At 39.8% G+C, this 16,864-nt stretch overlaps 1 protein-coding gene and 1 pseudogene across 65 annotated transcripts in view, besides 2 other annotated features; both read left to right on the top strand.

Annotated features, from left to right (window-relative positions):
- The window catches only part of TBC1D5 (TBC1 domain family member 5), a 585,470-nt gene that overhangs the window by 37,954 nt on the left and 530,652 nt on the right, over positions 1 to 16,864 (top strand). The window contains exon 1 of one of the 65 annotated variants that reach the window (NM_001134381.2): positions 4,658 to 4,700. The exons of the other annotated variants lie outside the window; for them this stretch is intronic. The gene's annotated coding sequence lies outside the window, so the exon portion shown is untranslated. Of the gene's footprint in view, positions 1 to 4,657; positions 4,701 to 16,864 lie in introns of those variants that run through there. 65 annotated transcript variants of the gene reach the window in all.
- On the top strand, positions 4,706 to 4,778 carry TRC-GCA25-1 (tRNA-Cys (anticodon GCA) 25-1; annotated as a pseudogene).
- Positions 10,656 to 11,155: an enhancer, noted in NCBI's record as "H3K4me1 hESC enhancer chr3:17735015-17735514 (GRCh37/hg19 assembly coordinates)". NCBI's record gives its function as "activates a minimal SCP1, AML or CMV promoter by ChIP-STARR-seq in primed H9 embryonic stem cells {active_cell/tissue: H9 hESC(primed)}" and the evidence as "EXISTENCE:reporter gene assay evidence [ECO:0000049][PMID:30033119]".
- Positions 11,156 to 11,657: an enhancer, noted in NCBI's record as "H3K4me1 hESC enhancer chr3:17734513-17735014 (GRCh37/hg19 assembly coordinates)". NCBI's record gives its function as "activates a minimal SCP1, AML or CMV promoter by ChIP-STARR-seq in primed H9 embryonic stem cells {active_cell/tissue: H9 hESC(primed)}" and the evidence as "EXISTENCE:reporter gene assay evidence [ECO:0000049][PMID:30033119]".

Below are 16,864 nucleotides of genomic sequence, written 5' to 3'. Positions count from 1 at the left end.
CCGTCCGGGAGGGAGGTGGGGGGGTCGGCCCCCCGCCTGGCCAGCAGCCCCGTCCGGGAGGTTGGTGGGGGTGTCGGCCCCCCGCCCGGCCAGCCGCCCCGTCCGGGAGGGAGGTGGGGGGGGTCGGCCCCCCGCCCGGCCAGCCGCCCCGTCCGGGAGGTGAGGGGCGCCTCTGCCCGGCCGCCCCTACTGGGAAGTGAGGAGCCCCTCTGCCCGGCCACCACCCCGTCTGGGAGGTGTGCCCAACAGCTCATTGAGAACGGGCCAGGATGACAATGGCTGCTTTGTGGAATAGAAAGGCGGGAAGGGTGGGGAAGGGATTGAGAAATCGGATGGTTGCCGTGTCTGTGTAGAAAGAAGTAGACATGGGAGACTTTTCATTTTGTTCTGCACTAAGAAAAATTCCTCTGCCTTGGGATCCTGTTGATCTGTGACCTTACCCCCAACCCTGTGCTCTCTGAAACATGTGCTGTGTCCACTCAGGGTTAAATGGATTAAGGGCGGTGCAAGATGTGCTTTGTTAAACAGATGCTTGAAGGCAGCATGCTCGTTAAGAGTCATCACCAATCCCTAATCTCAAGTAATCAGGGACACAAACACTGCGGAAGGCCGCAGGGTCCTCTGCCTAGGAAAACCAGAGACCTTTGTTCACTTGTTTATCTGCTGACCTTCCCTCCACTATTGTCCCATGACCCTGCCAAATCCCCCTCTGTGAGAAACACCCAAGAATTATCAATAAAAAAATAAATTAAAAAAAAAAAAACAAAAAAAAAACACAAATATCAATGTGGTACATTCTTTTTAAGTATGATTTTTAGTGAGATATTGTAGAGTCAAAAAGGAATTAGCACAATTATTTTAAGATCATATACTTAATGTGGCAGAAAATTGACACTATAGCAATTTTGGGTTCTATTCCCAGACTCTCATATGTATGAGGTCATTGTCTGTTGTGGCATTTATTTAGGGATGTTTAGGTGGGAAAGCTTGTGATCCCCTGTTCTATGATCTTAATCTTAAAACATTCAGGGATTTCAGTTATTAGAATCTTCCTGTAGTAAGCTTGCATCCTCTTTTGACAGATTTAGAGTTCAACTACTAGTCTTTCCCACCCACTCCCTAAAATTTTAAGCCATTTGCACATCTTATGATAAAGAATTTTGGCTTTGTGGCTTGATTTTATTGAAAAAAAATTTGCAGTTTGCTTTTACTTAAAAATCTACTTATAAAGTATATTAATGTTTAATATATCTTAAAAATTTGCCTACTTATTTATGTTTCAAGTAGGGATCAGGAAGTACAAGTGAAATGGTTAGTTTTGGGAACATTTTCTATGCATGGATGTATCTATATATGTAGGGATTTTTTTTTAAAGCCTACCTTTTTTTTTTCTCCACAGAAAAGACTTGAAGCAGCTAAAAAACATATGTACAAATGTAATTATAATTGAGTAAAAACTCAGAAGGCACTATGGAATATTTTTCTTTTTCTTTATATCAGAATGGTTTGATAGTTAAATTTGGTGTGGGCAACCAAAGTTTGAAATGATAAGGCCACATATTCTTCTAGCCTGAACATTGTGTCTGGCTGAAATAAGGCATTTTCTTTTTTTTAACTTCATAAATTTCCAGCTTAAATTCAACTTTTTTCTAAACCACTCAGTAAAGATGTTTGGTGTTTTGTATCTGCTGAGGCATTAACTTTGAATCAATATAGCTATGGTCTAGTTTGGAGAAGTTTTCTTATTTAAAGACCTTACCCCTCAGCTTTTCAGAATGGCTTATACTTTTAATTGTTCATGATTAAGTATGGATGACAATTTTTGCCACACTCTGCCTTTACTTATTTATACCTGATGGAAGTTTTAATCACTCAGGCCAGCTTTTTTTCTACCCTTGGAGGTAGTACCATATGAGTCTTATTAAGGCTCAATAAGCAATTAAATTTAAAAAGTAATCTTGCTAAATTTTGTTCATCAATCTCGTTCATATTGATGACAATGAATCAAATAAGTTAATGCATCATTTCGTTTAGTTTATCTACTATGTATGCCTAATGATTGTCCTTTCAATTTCATTTGATGGGGAATGCTGCTAAGAAGCAGCTGTTGATTAGATTTTGGACATCTTTTTCTCTTTACATTGTTACATTCAATTTATGTATCCTTTTCTGTGTATTTTTTAATGCCGTTCACTATGTTCTTTTACATTCTAAGCTTTTACCCATTATTATATCTGTTCTATAAAGCCAGGATTCCATGAGGTTATTGTGATGCTTCAATTAGGTATCTGTTAAATATTTGAAAAAACACCATTTATATAACTATTAGTTATGATTCTGTTTTAGGAGGTGTAATGCCATAATTTCATAGTTTTACTAAGTAAGTTTGAATTTACATTTGATTTCTTCTGGAAGTCTTAGCAGGGTCTTTTAAATGAACTGCATTTAAAAGTAAAAGAATCTGTTGTGCTTGGAAGATTTGACAGGTAGAGTATGCCAAAGTATTATATAGCTCACCTCACATTGAAGACGACAGTTAGTGGAAATTGGAATCCTGTTTGTTTCAATATAATTGAAAATATATTCAGCCTTAGCTAATATAAGACTGTAATTTTTTTATTTCATAAAGTTGCACATTAAAAATTCACCCTAATTTAATAAACTAAACACAGTTTTGGCAGTAGGGACAGTATATTTCTACTGGGAGAGGGAATCTTTAGCTCTTGAAATTTGGTCTCCAATAACTTTCTTTACTAAGTCCTCTTGTCCTTATTTTGTTTATTTATAGTACATCTAGCCCTTATTCTTAGTTAGGAAAAAAAAAAAAGAAAAAGCTAGTCTGGTCAGGGATTGTGTTCTAGTAATTTTGGTGGATTTAGCCTTTAAACTGTTAAGGAATTACCCACATATATACCTGCATCTTTACTCTCAGTTTTTTCTTGCATCTCAGACCTTCCATCTGTGACTTCAGTTAGTCTGGAAAAATTTCAACGATTATTTATTTGGATACTGTTCATATCCTCTCTTTTATATTCTTTGTTTAAAAAAAAAAGTCTTTTTTGTTGCCCAGATTGGAGTGCAGTGGCGCTATCTTGGCTCACTGCAACCTCTGCTTCCTGGGCTCAAGCGATCTTCCCAACTCCGCCTCTGTAGTAGCTGGAACTACAGTTGTGCGCCACCCAGGAGACTTTTTTTTATTATTATTATACTTTAAGTTCTAGGGTACATGTGCAGAATGTGCAGGTTTGATACATAGGTAAACATGTGCTATTTTGGTTTGCTGCACCCATCAGCTCGTCATTTACATTAGGTATTTCTCCTAATGCTATCTCTCCTCCAGCCCCCTACCCCCTAACAGGCCCCAGTGTGTGATGTTCCCCGCCTTATGTCCAAGTGATCTCGTTCAGGTCCCACCTATGAGTGAGAACATGTGGTATTTGGTTTTCTGTCCTTGTGATAGTTTGCTGAGAATGATGGTTTCCAGCTTCATCCATGTCCCTGCAAAGGACATGAACTCATCCTTTTTATGGCTGCATAGTATTCCATGGTGTATATGTGCCACATTTTCTTAATCCAGTCCATCATTGATGGACATTTGGGTTGGTTCCAAGTCTTTGCTATTGTGAATAGTGCTACAATAAACATACGTATGCATGTGTCTTTATAGTAGCATGATTTATAATCCTTTGGGTATATACCTAGTAATGGGATGGCTGGGTCAAATGGTATTTCGAGTTCTAGATCTTTGAGGGATTACCACACTGTCTTCCACAATGGTTGAACTGGTTTACAGTCCCACCAACAGTGTAAAAGTGTTCCTATTTCTCCACATCCTCTCCAGCACCTGTTGTTTCCTGACTTTTTAATGATCGCCATTCTCACTGGTGTGAGGTGGTATCTCATTGTGGTTTTGCTTTGCATTTCTCTGATGGCCAGTGATGATGAGCATTTTTTCACGTGTCTGTTGGCCGCGTAGATGTCTTCTTTTGAGAAGTGTCTTTTCATATCCTTCGCCCACTTTTTGATGGGGTTGTTTGTTTTTTTCTTGTAAATTTGTTTGAGTTCTTTGTAGATTCTGGATATTAGCTCTTTGTCAGATGAGTAGATTGCAAAAATTTTCTCCTATTCTGTAGGTTGCCTGTTCACTCTGATGGTAGTTTCTTTTGCTGTGCAGAAACTCTTTAGTTTAATTAGATCCCATTTGTCAATTTTGGCTTTTGTTGTCATTGCTTTTGGTGTTTTGGACATGAAGTCCTTGCCCATGCCTATGTCCTGAATGGTATTGCCTAGGTTTTCTTCTAGGGTTTTTATGGTTTTAGGTCTAACATTTAAGTCTTTAATCCATCTTGAATTAATTTTTGTATAAGGTGTAAGGAAGGGATCCAGTTTCAGCTTTCTCCATATGGCTAGCCAGTTTTCCCAGCACCATTTATTAAATAGGGAATTGTTTCCCCATTTCTTGTTTTTGTCAGGTTTGTCAAAGATCAGATGGTTGTAGTTGTGTGGTATTTTTTTTTTTTTGTCTGTCATTTTTCAAGTGTTCCCTTTCAGTTTATTAGTGGCCAAGGGACAAGCCAAAGCAGATGATGGATAATTAAGAAGGTGGGGCTTTAGAACACATAGCTTGCCAGAACTCTAGTGTGGGTGGAACTTGATTGTATTGAGTCACCATAAGTGGACAAGGAAGGAGCTTCTAACAGGTGAAGGGGGTATATCTCAGGGGGCAGAGCATTTGACTGCAGATCAAGAGGTCCCCGGTTGAAATCCGGGTGCTGGATTTTCTCACTTCCATTTTAAAGTAGATACTGTCAGCCACAGTGTCACCAGAATAGATGAGAAAACTTTCTTTCTTTTTTTTTTTTTTCCCTTGACACAGTACTCCTTTAATCCCACAATACTCTGTGGTAATTTTAAATCAGATACATTGAAAGGATATTAACTTTTACAATATTATTGGACAATTAAAACTATATATGTAAATCCAAGAGACTGGAGGATCTACATATACTGAGTTTCTTATTTAACAATAACTGATGATTTTTATATAATTGAGAATAAATCTGTATCAGATGATGAGACTCATAGAGGATAATAGGTCAATTATTATGGTAATTTTAAAAATCTATTTATTATTATTATACTTTAAGTTTTAGGGTACATGTGCACAATGTGCAGGTTAGTTACATATGTATACATGTGCCATGCTGGTGCGCTGCACCCACTAACTCGTCATCTAGCATTAGGTATATCTCCCAATGCTATCCCTCCCCCCTCCCCCCACCCCACAACAGTCCCCAGAGTGTGATGTTCCCCTTCCTGTGTCCATGTGTTCTCATTGTTCAATTCCCACCTATGAGTGAGAATATGTGGTGTTTGGTTTTTTGTTCTTGCGATAGTTTACTGAGAATGATGATTTCCAATTTCATCCATGTCCCTACAAAGGACATGAACTCATCATTTTTTATGGCTGCATAGTATTCCATGGTGTATATGTGCCACATTTTCTTAATCCAGTCTATCATTGTTGGACATTTGGGTTGGTTCCAAGTCTTTGCTATTGTGAATAATGCCGCAATAAACATACGTGGGCATGTGTCTTTATAGCAGCATGATTTATAGTCCTTTGGGCATATACCCAGTAATGGGATGGCTGGGTCAAATGGTATTTCGAGTTCTAGATCCCTGAGGAATCGCCACACTGACTTCCACAATGGTTGAACTAGTTTACAGTCCCACCAACAGTGTAAAAGTGTTCCTATTTCTCCACATCCTCTCCAGCACCTGTTGTTTCCTGACTTTTTAATGATTGCCATTCTAACTGGTGTGAGATGATATCTCATGTGGTTTTGATTTGCATTTCTCTGATGGCCAGTGATGATGAGCATTTTTTCATGTGTCTTTTGGCTGCATAAATGTCTTCTTTTGAGAAGTGTCGGTTCATATCCTTTGCCCACTTTTTGATGGGGTTGTTTGTTTTTTTCTTGTAAATTTGTTTGAGTTCATTGTAGATTCTGGATATTAGCCCTTTGTCAGATGAGTAGGTTGCGAAAATTTTCTCCCATTTTGTAGGTTGCCTGTTCACTCTGATGGTAGTTTCTTTTGCTGTGCAGAAGCTCTTTAGTTTAATTAGATCCCATTTGTCAATTTTGGCTTTTGTTGCCATTGCTTTTGGTGTTTTAGACATGAAGTCCTTGCCCATGCCTATATCCTGAATGGCAATGCCTAGGTTTTCTTCTAGGGTTTTTATGGTTTTAGGTCTAACGTTTAAGTCTTTAATCCATCTTGAATTGATTTTTGTATAAGGTGTAAGGAAGGGTTCCAGTTTCAGCTTTCTCCATATGGCTAGCCAGTTTTCCCAGCACCATTGATTAAATAGGGAATCCTTTCCCCAATGCTTGTTTTTGTCAGGTTTGTCAAAGATCAGATAGTTGTAGATATGCGGCGTTATTTCTGAGGGCTCTGTTCTGTTCCATTGATCTATATCTCTGTTTTGGGACCAGTACCATGCTTCTTTGGTTACTGTAGCCTTGTAGTATAGTTTGAAGTCAGGTAGCATGATGCCTCCAGCTTTGTTCTTTTGGCTTAGGATTGACTTGGCAATGTGGGCTCTTTTTTGGTTCCATATGAACTTGAAAGTAGTTTTTTCCAATTCTGTGAAGAAAGTCATTGGTAGCTTGATGGGGATGGCATTGAATCTGTAAATTACCTTGGGCAGTATGGCCATTGTGGTATTCTTTCTGAGGCCTCTGTTCTTTTCCATTGGTTTATATCTCTGTTTTGGAACCAGTACCATGCTGTTTTGGTTACTGTAGCCTTGTAGTGTATTTTGAAGTCAGGTAGTGTGATGCCTACAGCTTTGTTCTTTTTGCTTAGGATTGTCTTGGCAACGCGGGTTCTGTTTTGGTTCCACATGAACTTTAAAGTAGTTTTTTCCAATTCTGTGAAGCAAGTCATTGGTAGCTTGATGGGGATGGCATTGAATCTATAAATTACCTTGGGCAGTATGGCCATTTTCACAATATTGATTCTTCCTATCCGTGAGCGTGGGATGTTCTTCCATTTGTTTGTATCCTCTTTTATTTCATTGAGCAGTGGTTTGTAGTTCTCCTTGAAGAAGTCCTTCACATCCCTTGTAAGTTGGATTCTTAGGCATTTTATTCTCTTGGTAGCAATTGTGAATGGGAATTCACTTGTGATTTGGCTCTCTGTTTGTCTGTTATTTGTATATAGGAATGCTTGTGATTTTTTCACATTGATTTTGTATCCTGAGACTTTGCTGAAGTTGCTTATCAGCTTAAGGAGATTTTGGGCTGAGACGATGGGGTTTTCTAAATATACAATCATGTCATCTGCAAACAGGGACAATTTGACTTCCTCTTTTCCTAATTAAATACCTTTTATTTCTTTGTCTTGCCTGATTGCCCTGGCCAGAACTTCCAACCCTATGTTGAATACGAGTGGTGAGAGAGGGCATCCTTGTCTTGTGCCGATTTTCCAAGGAAATGCTTCCGGTTGTTGCCCATTCGGTATGATATTGGCTGTGGGTTTGTCATAAATAGCTCTTAGTATTTTGTGATATGTTCCATCAATACCTAGTTTATTGAGAGTTTTTAGCATGAAATACTGTTGAATTTTGTCGAAGGCCTTTTCTGCATCTATTAAGATAATCATGTGGTTTTTATCATTGGTTCTGTTTATGTGATGGATTATGTTTATTGATTTGCGTATGTTGAATCAGCCTTGCATCCCAGGGGTGAAGCTGACTTGATCATGGTGGGTAAGCTTTTTGATGTGATGCTGGATTCGGTTTGCCAGTATTTTATTGAGAATTTTCACATCAATGTTCTTCAGAGATATTGGTCTAAAATTCTTTTTTTCTGTTGTGTCTCTGCCAGGCTTTGGTATCGGGAAGATGTTGGCCTCATAAAATGAGTTAGGGAGGATTTCCTCTTTGTCTATTGATTGGAATACTTTCAGAAGGAATGGTACCAGCTCCTCTTTGTACCTCTGGTAGAATTTAGCTGTGAATCCGTCTGGTCCTGGACTTTTTTTTGGTTGGTAGGCTGTTAATTATTGCCTCAATTTCAGAGCCTGTGATTGTTCTATTCAGAGATTCAACTTCTTGCTGGTTTAGTCTTGGTTTAGTCTTGTATGTATCCAGGAATTCATCTATTTCTTCTAGATTTTCTAGTTTATTTGCCTAGAGGTGTTTATAGTATCCTCTGATGGTAGTTTGTATTTCTGTGTAATAGGTGGTGATATCCCCTTTATCATTTTTTATTGCATCTATTTGATTCTTCTCTCCTTTCTTCTTTATTAGTCTTGCTAGCAGTCTATCAGTTTTGTTGATCTTTTCAAAAAACCAGCTCTTGGATTCATTGATTTTTTTGAAGGGATTTTTGTGTCTCTATTTCCTTCAGTTCTGCTCTGATCTTAGTTATTTCTTGCCTTCTGCTAGCTTTTTTTTTGTTTGCTCTTCCTTCTCTATTTCTTTTAATTGTGATGTTAGGGTGTCGATTTTAGATCTTTCTTGCTTTCTTCTGTGGGCATTTAGAGCTATAAATTTCCCTCTACACACTGCTTTAAATATGTCCCAGAGATTCTGGTACATTGTGTCTTTGTTCTCATTGGTTTCAAAGAACATCTTTATTTCAGCCTTCATTTCGATATTTACCCAGTAGTCATTCAGGAATAAGTTGTTCATTTTCCATGTAGTAGTGTGTGGTTTTGATGACTCTCTTAATCCTGAGTTGTAATTTGATTGCACTGTGGTCTGAGAGACAGTTTGTTGTGATTTATGTTCTTTTACATTTGCTGAGGAGTGCTTTACTTCCAATTATGTGGTCAGTTTTAGAATAAGTGCGATATGGTGCTGAGAAGAATGTATGTTCTGTTGACTTGGGGTGGAGAGTTCTGTAGATATCTCTTAGGTCAGCTTGGTGCAGAGCTGAGTTCAAGTCCTAGATATCTTTGTTAACCTTCTGTCTTGTTGATCTGTCTAATATTGACAGTGGGGTGTTAAAGTCTCCCATTATTATTGTGTGGGAGTCTAAGTCTCTTTGTAGGTCTCTAAGGACTTGCTTTATGAATCTGGGTGCTCCTGTATTGGGTGTATATATATTTAGGATAGTTAGCTTTTCTTGTTGAATTGATCCCTTTACCATTATGTAATGGCCTTCTTTGTCTCTTTGGATCTTTATTGGTTTATAGTCTGTTTTTATCAGAGACTAGGATTGCAACCCCTGCTTTTTTTTGCTTTCCATTTGCTTGGTAGATCTTCCTCCATCCCTTTATTTTTAGCCTATGTGCGTCATTGCACGTGAGATGGGTCTCCTGAATACAGCCCAGTGATGGGTCTTGACTCTTTATCCAATTTGCCAGTCCGCGTCTTTTAATTGGGGCATTTAGTCCATTTACATTTAAGGTTAATATTGTTATGTGTGAATTTGATCCTGTCATTATGATGTTCCCTGGTTATTTTGCCCTTTAATTGATGCAGTTTCTTCATAGCATTGATGGTCTTTACAATTTGGCATGTTTTTGCAGTGGCTTGTACCGGTTGTTTCTTTCCGTGTTTAGTGCTTCCTTCAGGAGCTCTTGTAAGGCAGGCCTGGTGGTGACAGAATCTCTCAGCATTTGCTTGTGTGTAAAGGATTTTATTTCTCCTTTATTTATGAAGCTTAGTTTGGCTGGATATGAAATTCTGGGTTGAAAATTCTTTCTTTAAGAATGTTGAATATTGGCCCCCACTGTCTTCTGGGTTGTAGGGTTTCTGCCGAGAGGTCCGCTGTTAGTCTGATGGGCTTCCTTTTGTGGGTAACTCGACCTTTCTCTCTGGCTGCCTTTAACATTTTTTCCTTCATTTCAACCTTAGTGAATCTGACAATTGTGTGTCTTGGGGTTGCTCTTCTTGAGGAGTATCTTTATGGTGTTCTCTGTATTTCCTGAATTTGAATGTTGGCCTGCCTTGCTAGGTTGGGGAATTTTTCCTGGATAATATCCTGAAGACTGTTTTCCAACTTGGGTCCATTCTCCCCATCACTTTCAGGTACACCAATCAAATGTAGATTTGGTCTTTTCACACAGTCACATATTTCTTGGAGGCTTTGTTTGTTTCTTTTTACTCTTTTTTCTCTAACCCTGTCTCCTTGCTTTGTTTCATTGATTTGATCTTCAATCACTGATACCCTTTCTTCTAGTTGATCAAATCGGCTGTTGACGCTTGTGCATGCGTTGCGTAGTTCTCATGCCATGGTTTTCATCTCCATGACATCATTTAAGGTCTTCTCTACACTGTTTGTTCTAGTTAGCCATTCATCTAACATTTTTTCAAGGTTTTTAGCTTCCTTGCGATGTGTTCAAACATGCTCCTTTAGCTCGGAAAAGTTTGTTATTACTGACCTTCTGAAGCCTACTTCTGTCAACTTGTCAAAGTCGTTCTCTGTACAGCTTTATTCCATTGCTGGCAAGGAGCTGCAATGTTTTGGAGGAGAAGAGGCACTCTGATTTTTGGAATTTTCAGCTTTTCTGCTCTGGTTTCTCCCCATCTTTGTGATTTTATCCACCTTTGGTCTTTGATGTTGGTGACCTGCAGATGAGGTTTTGGTGTAGATGTCCTTTTTGTTGGTGTTGATGCTATTCCTTTCTGTTTGTTAGTTTTCCTTCTAACAGTCAGGTCCCTCAGCTGCAGGTCTGTTGGAGTTTGCTGGAGGTCCACTCCAGACTCTGTTTGCCTGGGTATCACCAGCGGAGGCTGCAGAACAGCAAATATTGCAGAACCTGCCTGATCCTTCCTCTGGAAGCTTCGTCCCAGAGGGGCACCCGCTTATATGAGGTGTCTGTCGGCCCCTATTGGTAGGTGTCTCCCAGTTTGGCTACACGGGTTCAGGGACCCAATTGAGGAGGCAGTCCATCCATTCTCAGAGCTCAAACGCTGTGTTGGGAGAACCACTGCTCTCTTCAGAGCCGTCAGACAGGGACGTTTAAATCTGCAGAAGTTGTCTGCTGCCTTTTGTCCAGCTAAGGCCTGTGTACGGAGGTGGAGTCTAGCGGCTGCAGGGTGTGCTGAGCTGCAGTGGGCTCCGCCCAGTTCGAGCTTCCTGGCAGCTTTGTTTACCTACTGAAGCCTCAGCGATGGGGGACGCCCCTCCCCCAGCCAGGCTGCCGCCTCGTGGTTCAATCTCAGACTGCTGCGCTAGCAGTGAGCAAGGCTCCGTGGGTGTGGGAACCACCGAGCCAGGCACAGGAGAGAATCTCCTTGTCTGCCGGTTGTTAAGACCTTGAGCAAAGCGCAGTTTTTGGGTGGGAGTGTTACGTTTTTCCAGGTACAGTCTGTCACGGCTTCCCTTGGCTAGGAAAGGGAAATCCCTGACCCCTTGCACTTCCCGGTTGAGTCAATGCCCCACCCTGCTTCAGCTTGCCTTCCGTGGGCTGCACCCAATGTCCAACCAGTCCCAATGAGATGAACCAGGTACCTCAGTTGGAAATGCAGATATCACCCGTCTTCTGCGTCCGTCACTCTGGGAGCTGCAGACTGAAGCTGTTCCTATTTGGCCATCTTGGAAGGGATCTAGGCTTTAAGGCTGAGAAGTCCAAGGTCAAGGGTTCACATCTGATGAGAGCCTTTTTGCTGGTGAGGACTTTACACTCCCAGGGCAGTGCAGAGCCTCATATGCCAAGGGGGCTCCGCCCATGTAATGTTTGTATTTTTTGTAGAGGCAGGTTCTTGCCATGTTGCCCAGGCTGGTCTTGAACTCTTGGGTTCAAGTGATCTGCCTGCCTTGGCTTCCCAAAGTGCTGGGATTACAAGTGTGAACTACCGTGCCTGGCCTATATTCGTTTATATCCTTTTATAATTCTGATCTACTTGTGTTTTAGACCATTGGTACTCAACCTGTGATCTTCAGATCAGTGCTGGTCTGCAAACTGATTTTACTGGTCTGTGAAGAAGTAAAAACAAATTCAGAGAAAGCATTTAGAAACTTTTATATCTAATTGACATTACCTAATAAGCATATAATTTTTAAAAAAATTAATTTTCATTGCATTTTACAAAAGTTTTTCTCTCCAATGGATTGGCAATTTAAAAAACGGTCTCCTGTATCACAGGTAGATTTAGAAGTATTTTGTTTAGACCTCTTTTATTCTATTCTTTGTATCTCTTGACTGCTCTTACATAGTTTTTTTCTGTGTCTTTGAATTGCATTTTAGATGGATTTTTAAGAATTAATTCACTAATTCTTTCTCTATTCAACTCTTGCACTTTTACACTGAATTAAAAATTTTAGGCTGGGTGTGGTGACTCATACCTGTAATCCCAGCACTTTGGGAGGCTGAGGCGGGTGGATCACCTGAGATTAGGAGTTTGGGAGCATCCTGGCCAACATGGCGAAATCCCGTCTCTACTAAAAATACAAAAATTAGCTGGGCATGGTGGCAGATGCTTGTAAACCCACCGTCTTGGGAGGCTGAGGCAGGAGGCCATTTGAACCTGAGAGGTGGAGGCTGCAGTGATCCGAGATTGCTCCACTGCACTTCAGCCTGCGTGACAGAACGAGGCCTCATCTCAAAAAAAAGAAAAAAAGTACTTATGTTTTTTATTTCTTGAAGTTTTATGTTTTATATAGATATTATTGCTTAAAACATTCTTACTGTATGCTCTTTCCAACAGTGGAATAATCTGTATGTTAATTTTGCCATGTCTTTTTTGTGATGGCTCTCTTTTGTTGTGTGTGGAATCCTTGAATTTTTTTTTTTTGTTTCTACTTCGGTAGTATATCTTGGAAAGGTGTTGGATTGATTAAGGCTTGGGTTGAAGTCATTTTCTTTTTTTCTTTCTTTTTTTTTTTTTTGTTGAGACGGAGTCTCACTCTGTTGCCAGGCTGCCTGGCTGGAGTGCAGTGGCTCGATCTCGGCTCACTGCAACCTCCGCCTCACGGGTTCAAGTGATTCTCCTGCCTCAGGCTCCTGAATAGCTGGGACTACAGGCATGCGCCACCATGCCCAACTAATTTTTGTATTTTTAGTAGAGGCGAGGTTTCACCATGTTGGCCAGGATGGTCTCCATCTCTTGACCTCATGATCCACCCGCTTTGGCCTCCCAAAGTGCTGGGATTACAAGTATGAGCCACGGCGCCCGGCCTGAAGTCATTTTCTTTCGTGGAGCATTTGCCTGTGCTTTCTCCAGTTGCCTGCCTAGCAGATTAAGAATGCTTTAAATATGGAATTTATTGGATCTCCTATGAAATTTATTGGATCATACAAGTAGTGTGAATTTAGTGTGAGAACCTTTGTGAAGGCCACTTTGTGGTTACAGTTGCAGGAGAATTGATAAAACATTCTAGAAGTGACAAAATTATAGAGATGGAATACAGATTAATGGTTGCCAGGAATTAGGAATGGTGGGAGTGCCAGGGATCGGGGGTCGGTGTGACTATAAAGGTGTTACAGGAGGGAGATCTTTGTGGTTCCTCATTGCTGTTAACATGAGGATGTACCCCTTGAGAGCACCAACTTTATATAGGTGTTTTCTTGTGATAGACTCCTTAAAATCTTGTTTCCTAAGCCTTGTGCAGCCATCAAAATGTAAGCTCAGTTTTACCAACGTTAGAATGAGAGCTGGTTTCTTCTGTTGGCTTACTGTTTTGTAAGGTTTCTCCTTTATTTATAGCTTATATGTATACTGTACTTTCTTGCTAACTAAACCCTTAAACAGATTTTTTTTCCTCTGTTTTAAAGTTAGATTTGAATAGTCTCAAGATATCTAGCTTTACGTACTGCTGGAAAGCAGTGTCCCTGTCTATCTACAATTTAGTCTTATAAAGCAGCAGTCCCCCCTTTTTGGCACCAGGGACCAGTTTTGTGGAAGACAGTTTTTCCATGGATGGGGGTGGAGATATGGTTTTCGGATGAAACTGTTCCACCTTAGATCACCAGGCATTAGATTCTCATAAGGAGCACGCAACCTAGATCGCTCACATGTACAGTTCACAAAAGGGTTAGCAGTCTTATGAGAATCTAATGCCACTGCTGTTCTGACAGGAGGCAGAGCTCAGGTGGTAATGTGAGCAATGGGGAGCAGCTGTAAATACAGATGAAGCTTTGCTTGCTTGTCTGTGGCCCCAGGGGTTGGAGAACCCTGTTATAAAATATGGCTATTTTTAGGCCGGGCGCGGTGGCTCACGCCTGTAATCCCAGCACTTTGGGAGGCCGAGGCGGGCGGATCACGAGGTCAGGAGATCGAGACCATCCCGGCTAAAACGGTGAAACCCCGTCTCTACTAAAAATACAAAAAATTAGCCGGGCGTAGTGGCGGGCGCCTGTAGTCCCAGCTACTTGGGAGGCTGAGGCGGGAGAATGGCGTGAACCCGGGAGGCAGAGCTTGCAGTGAGCCGAGATCCCGCCACTGCACTCCAGCCTGGGCGACAGAGCGAGACTCCGTCTCAAAAAAAAAAAAAAAAAAAAAAAAAAAAAATATGGCTATTTTTATGCTTCAGTTCTCTTATATTCTTATTATAATGGTTATTTTTCCATATTTCTTTGGTTTGTCATTCTTGTATAGGCCATCACAATCTACTCCTTGTTATGTTTTCTAGTCTTGTTTCCCACTGTTTTTTTGTTGGCCATGTTATGACTTATTAAAGCATCATGTATTATAGCAACAATTCTTTTATTCATATCCTTTTATACTGATTAAATGCTATCTCTTCTTTTTCGCTCATACTGGTCCTTCTAGCACTGTTGACGTTTTGGGCTGAATAACTGATTTTTTGGGGGGGAGGGGTCCTATCCTGTTTGTTGTATGTTTAGGTATGTTTAGGGATGATAGGTTTAGGTATGTTCAGCTGCATCCCTGGCCACTACTCACCAGATGCAAGTTATATTTCTCATTTGGAACAACCTAAAGTTTTTCTAGACATTGCCAAATGTCCCCTGGGGGCAGTGTCTTCCATAGTTGACAACTACTATTGTATTCCTGTATGATTTTGATCTGAGACACAGAGGCATTTCTGATTATCCCTGCCTGATGTGACTTTTTACCTGCTGGATTTTCTGTAGTATACATTGTCTGAATTATACATTTATCTTTTATTACATTTTGTTATGAATTCCCCTCCCTCCCTTTTTTCTCTTTTTCTTTTCTTTTTTTTTTTTTTTTTTGAGACAGGGTCTCACTCTGTCGCCCAGGCAGGGCCCACTGCAGCCTTGACCTTCCCAACTCAAGCGATCCTCCAGCTTCAGCCTCCTGGCTAGCTGGGGCCATAGGCACACAGCACCATGCCTAGCTAATTTTTTGTATTTTTAGAATAGACGGGGTTTCGCCATGTTGTCCACTGATCTCAAATTCCTGGACTGAAGCAATCTGCCCACTTTGGCCTCCCAAAGTGCTGGGATTACAGTCGTGAGCCATTGTGCCCGGACTTTGTTGTGAGTGTCTAACGCATTTTCTAGAGGACTGGGTCCATCTATTTCACTTTTTTGTTTGTTTGCTATTTTGGCCAACTCCATGCACTTGTTAGTAGCTTTGAATGTCTTTTCCTTTGTTTTTCCATTTCTTTTATGGTGATAATGGGGATTTTGGAAAGTAAATCACTCTAGAAAATATGGAAAATTTTGAAGCATTCTAAATTATGAGACTCTATTAATGGTAATTATGGAGTTTCAGCCAATGGAATTAATGCCAATATAACAATTCTCTGTGTACCCAGTAGTAACTCTGGAAAATTCGGGACAATTCAAGATAGTTTTAAAAATATAAGAAAGATATAATTTATGTTAGATGTGTTCATTATACAAGTAACCAGAAAAATGTACAGTAGGGTAGAAATTTTAAAAATAGGCTGAGAAATATAGAAAGTGGAAGGATTTGTAGAAGCATGAAGGACAAATGATTAGTTCCACAGAATGAGATGAGCAAAGTAATCAATATGTCGGGGTACATTGTTAGGAATGATGGATGTAGCATCTGGTTAGGAGTGACTTGTGCAAAGCTGACAAACGTGATATGTGAATGCTAGTAAGTTGAATACAAGTTGGGCACAGAGAAGTTGGCTTCTTAGTACTGCCTAAAGAGAAACATCTATGTTTTGCCCCGGTTGGTAAAGATACAGCTCAGATGTAGATGCTCCATGCCATTGTTTAAATCAGTGAATTCTAGGTAATAAAATAAATTGAAGCCTGAACCTAACCACTTTTCTAAGGTGGCTGATTGCTTCTTCATCTGTGCCAACATTTTTATGAAAAATAATCAATACACATAGTATGTATTCATTGTAGAAAAACTAGAAATTAATGAAATGTATGGATAAAGTAAAATTTAGTTACAATTCCTCAAAGGAGAGCTAAACCACTAGTATCAGTTTAGTTTTTATTTTCTTAAGTTTTATATGGTCTCAGTCTCTCTAGATATAGCTATATGATGGGCCTATATGTATGTGTATATATATACTAGTATATGTATTTGTATATATGTATATTGATATGAAATGGGTTATTGTATATGAAATAGTTTATATTTTTTTATTTAATACTGTGAACAGTTCTCCATATCAGTAAAATTCTTCAAAGTGATATTTAGTGAAATCATAGCATTCGATTCTAAGATTATCCCTAAATTTAACCATTCTTCTATTGTTAAATATCTTTTCCTTCATTTTCATTAATTTGCAGTGAACTTCTCTAATGAAAATCTTTCAGTACCTCTTTCATTTTCTTTGAAGAGTTGTAACTTTTACTGCAGTCTGCCTATTTTAATTCACCTCACAAAATTTATTCTGTCTTCCTTAGTTACAAAAGAATCCCAGTTTTATAGCTGAGTATATTGACAGTGTTACAGACTACATTGCCTGGCCTTCCAAGTGGTTAA

This window comes from Homo sapiens, chromosome 3 (genome assembly GCF_000001405.40).
Source record: "Homo sapiens chromosome 3, GRCh38.p14 Primary Assembly".
NCBI classification, from domain to species: Eukaryota; Metazoa; Chordata; class Mammalia; order Primates; family Hominidae; genus Homo; species Homo sapiens.
Note: the sequence above shows the minus strand (reverse complement) of the source record. Positions and strands in the feature narration are given on the sequence as shown.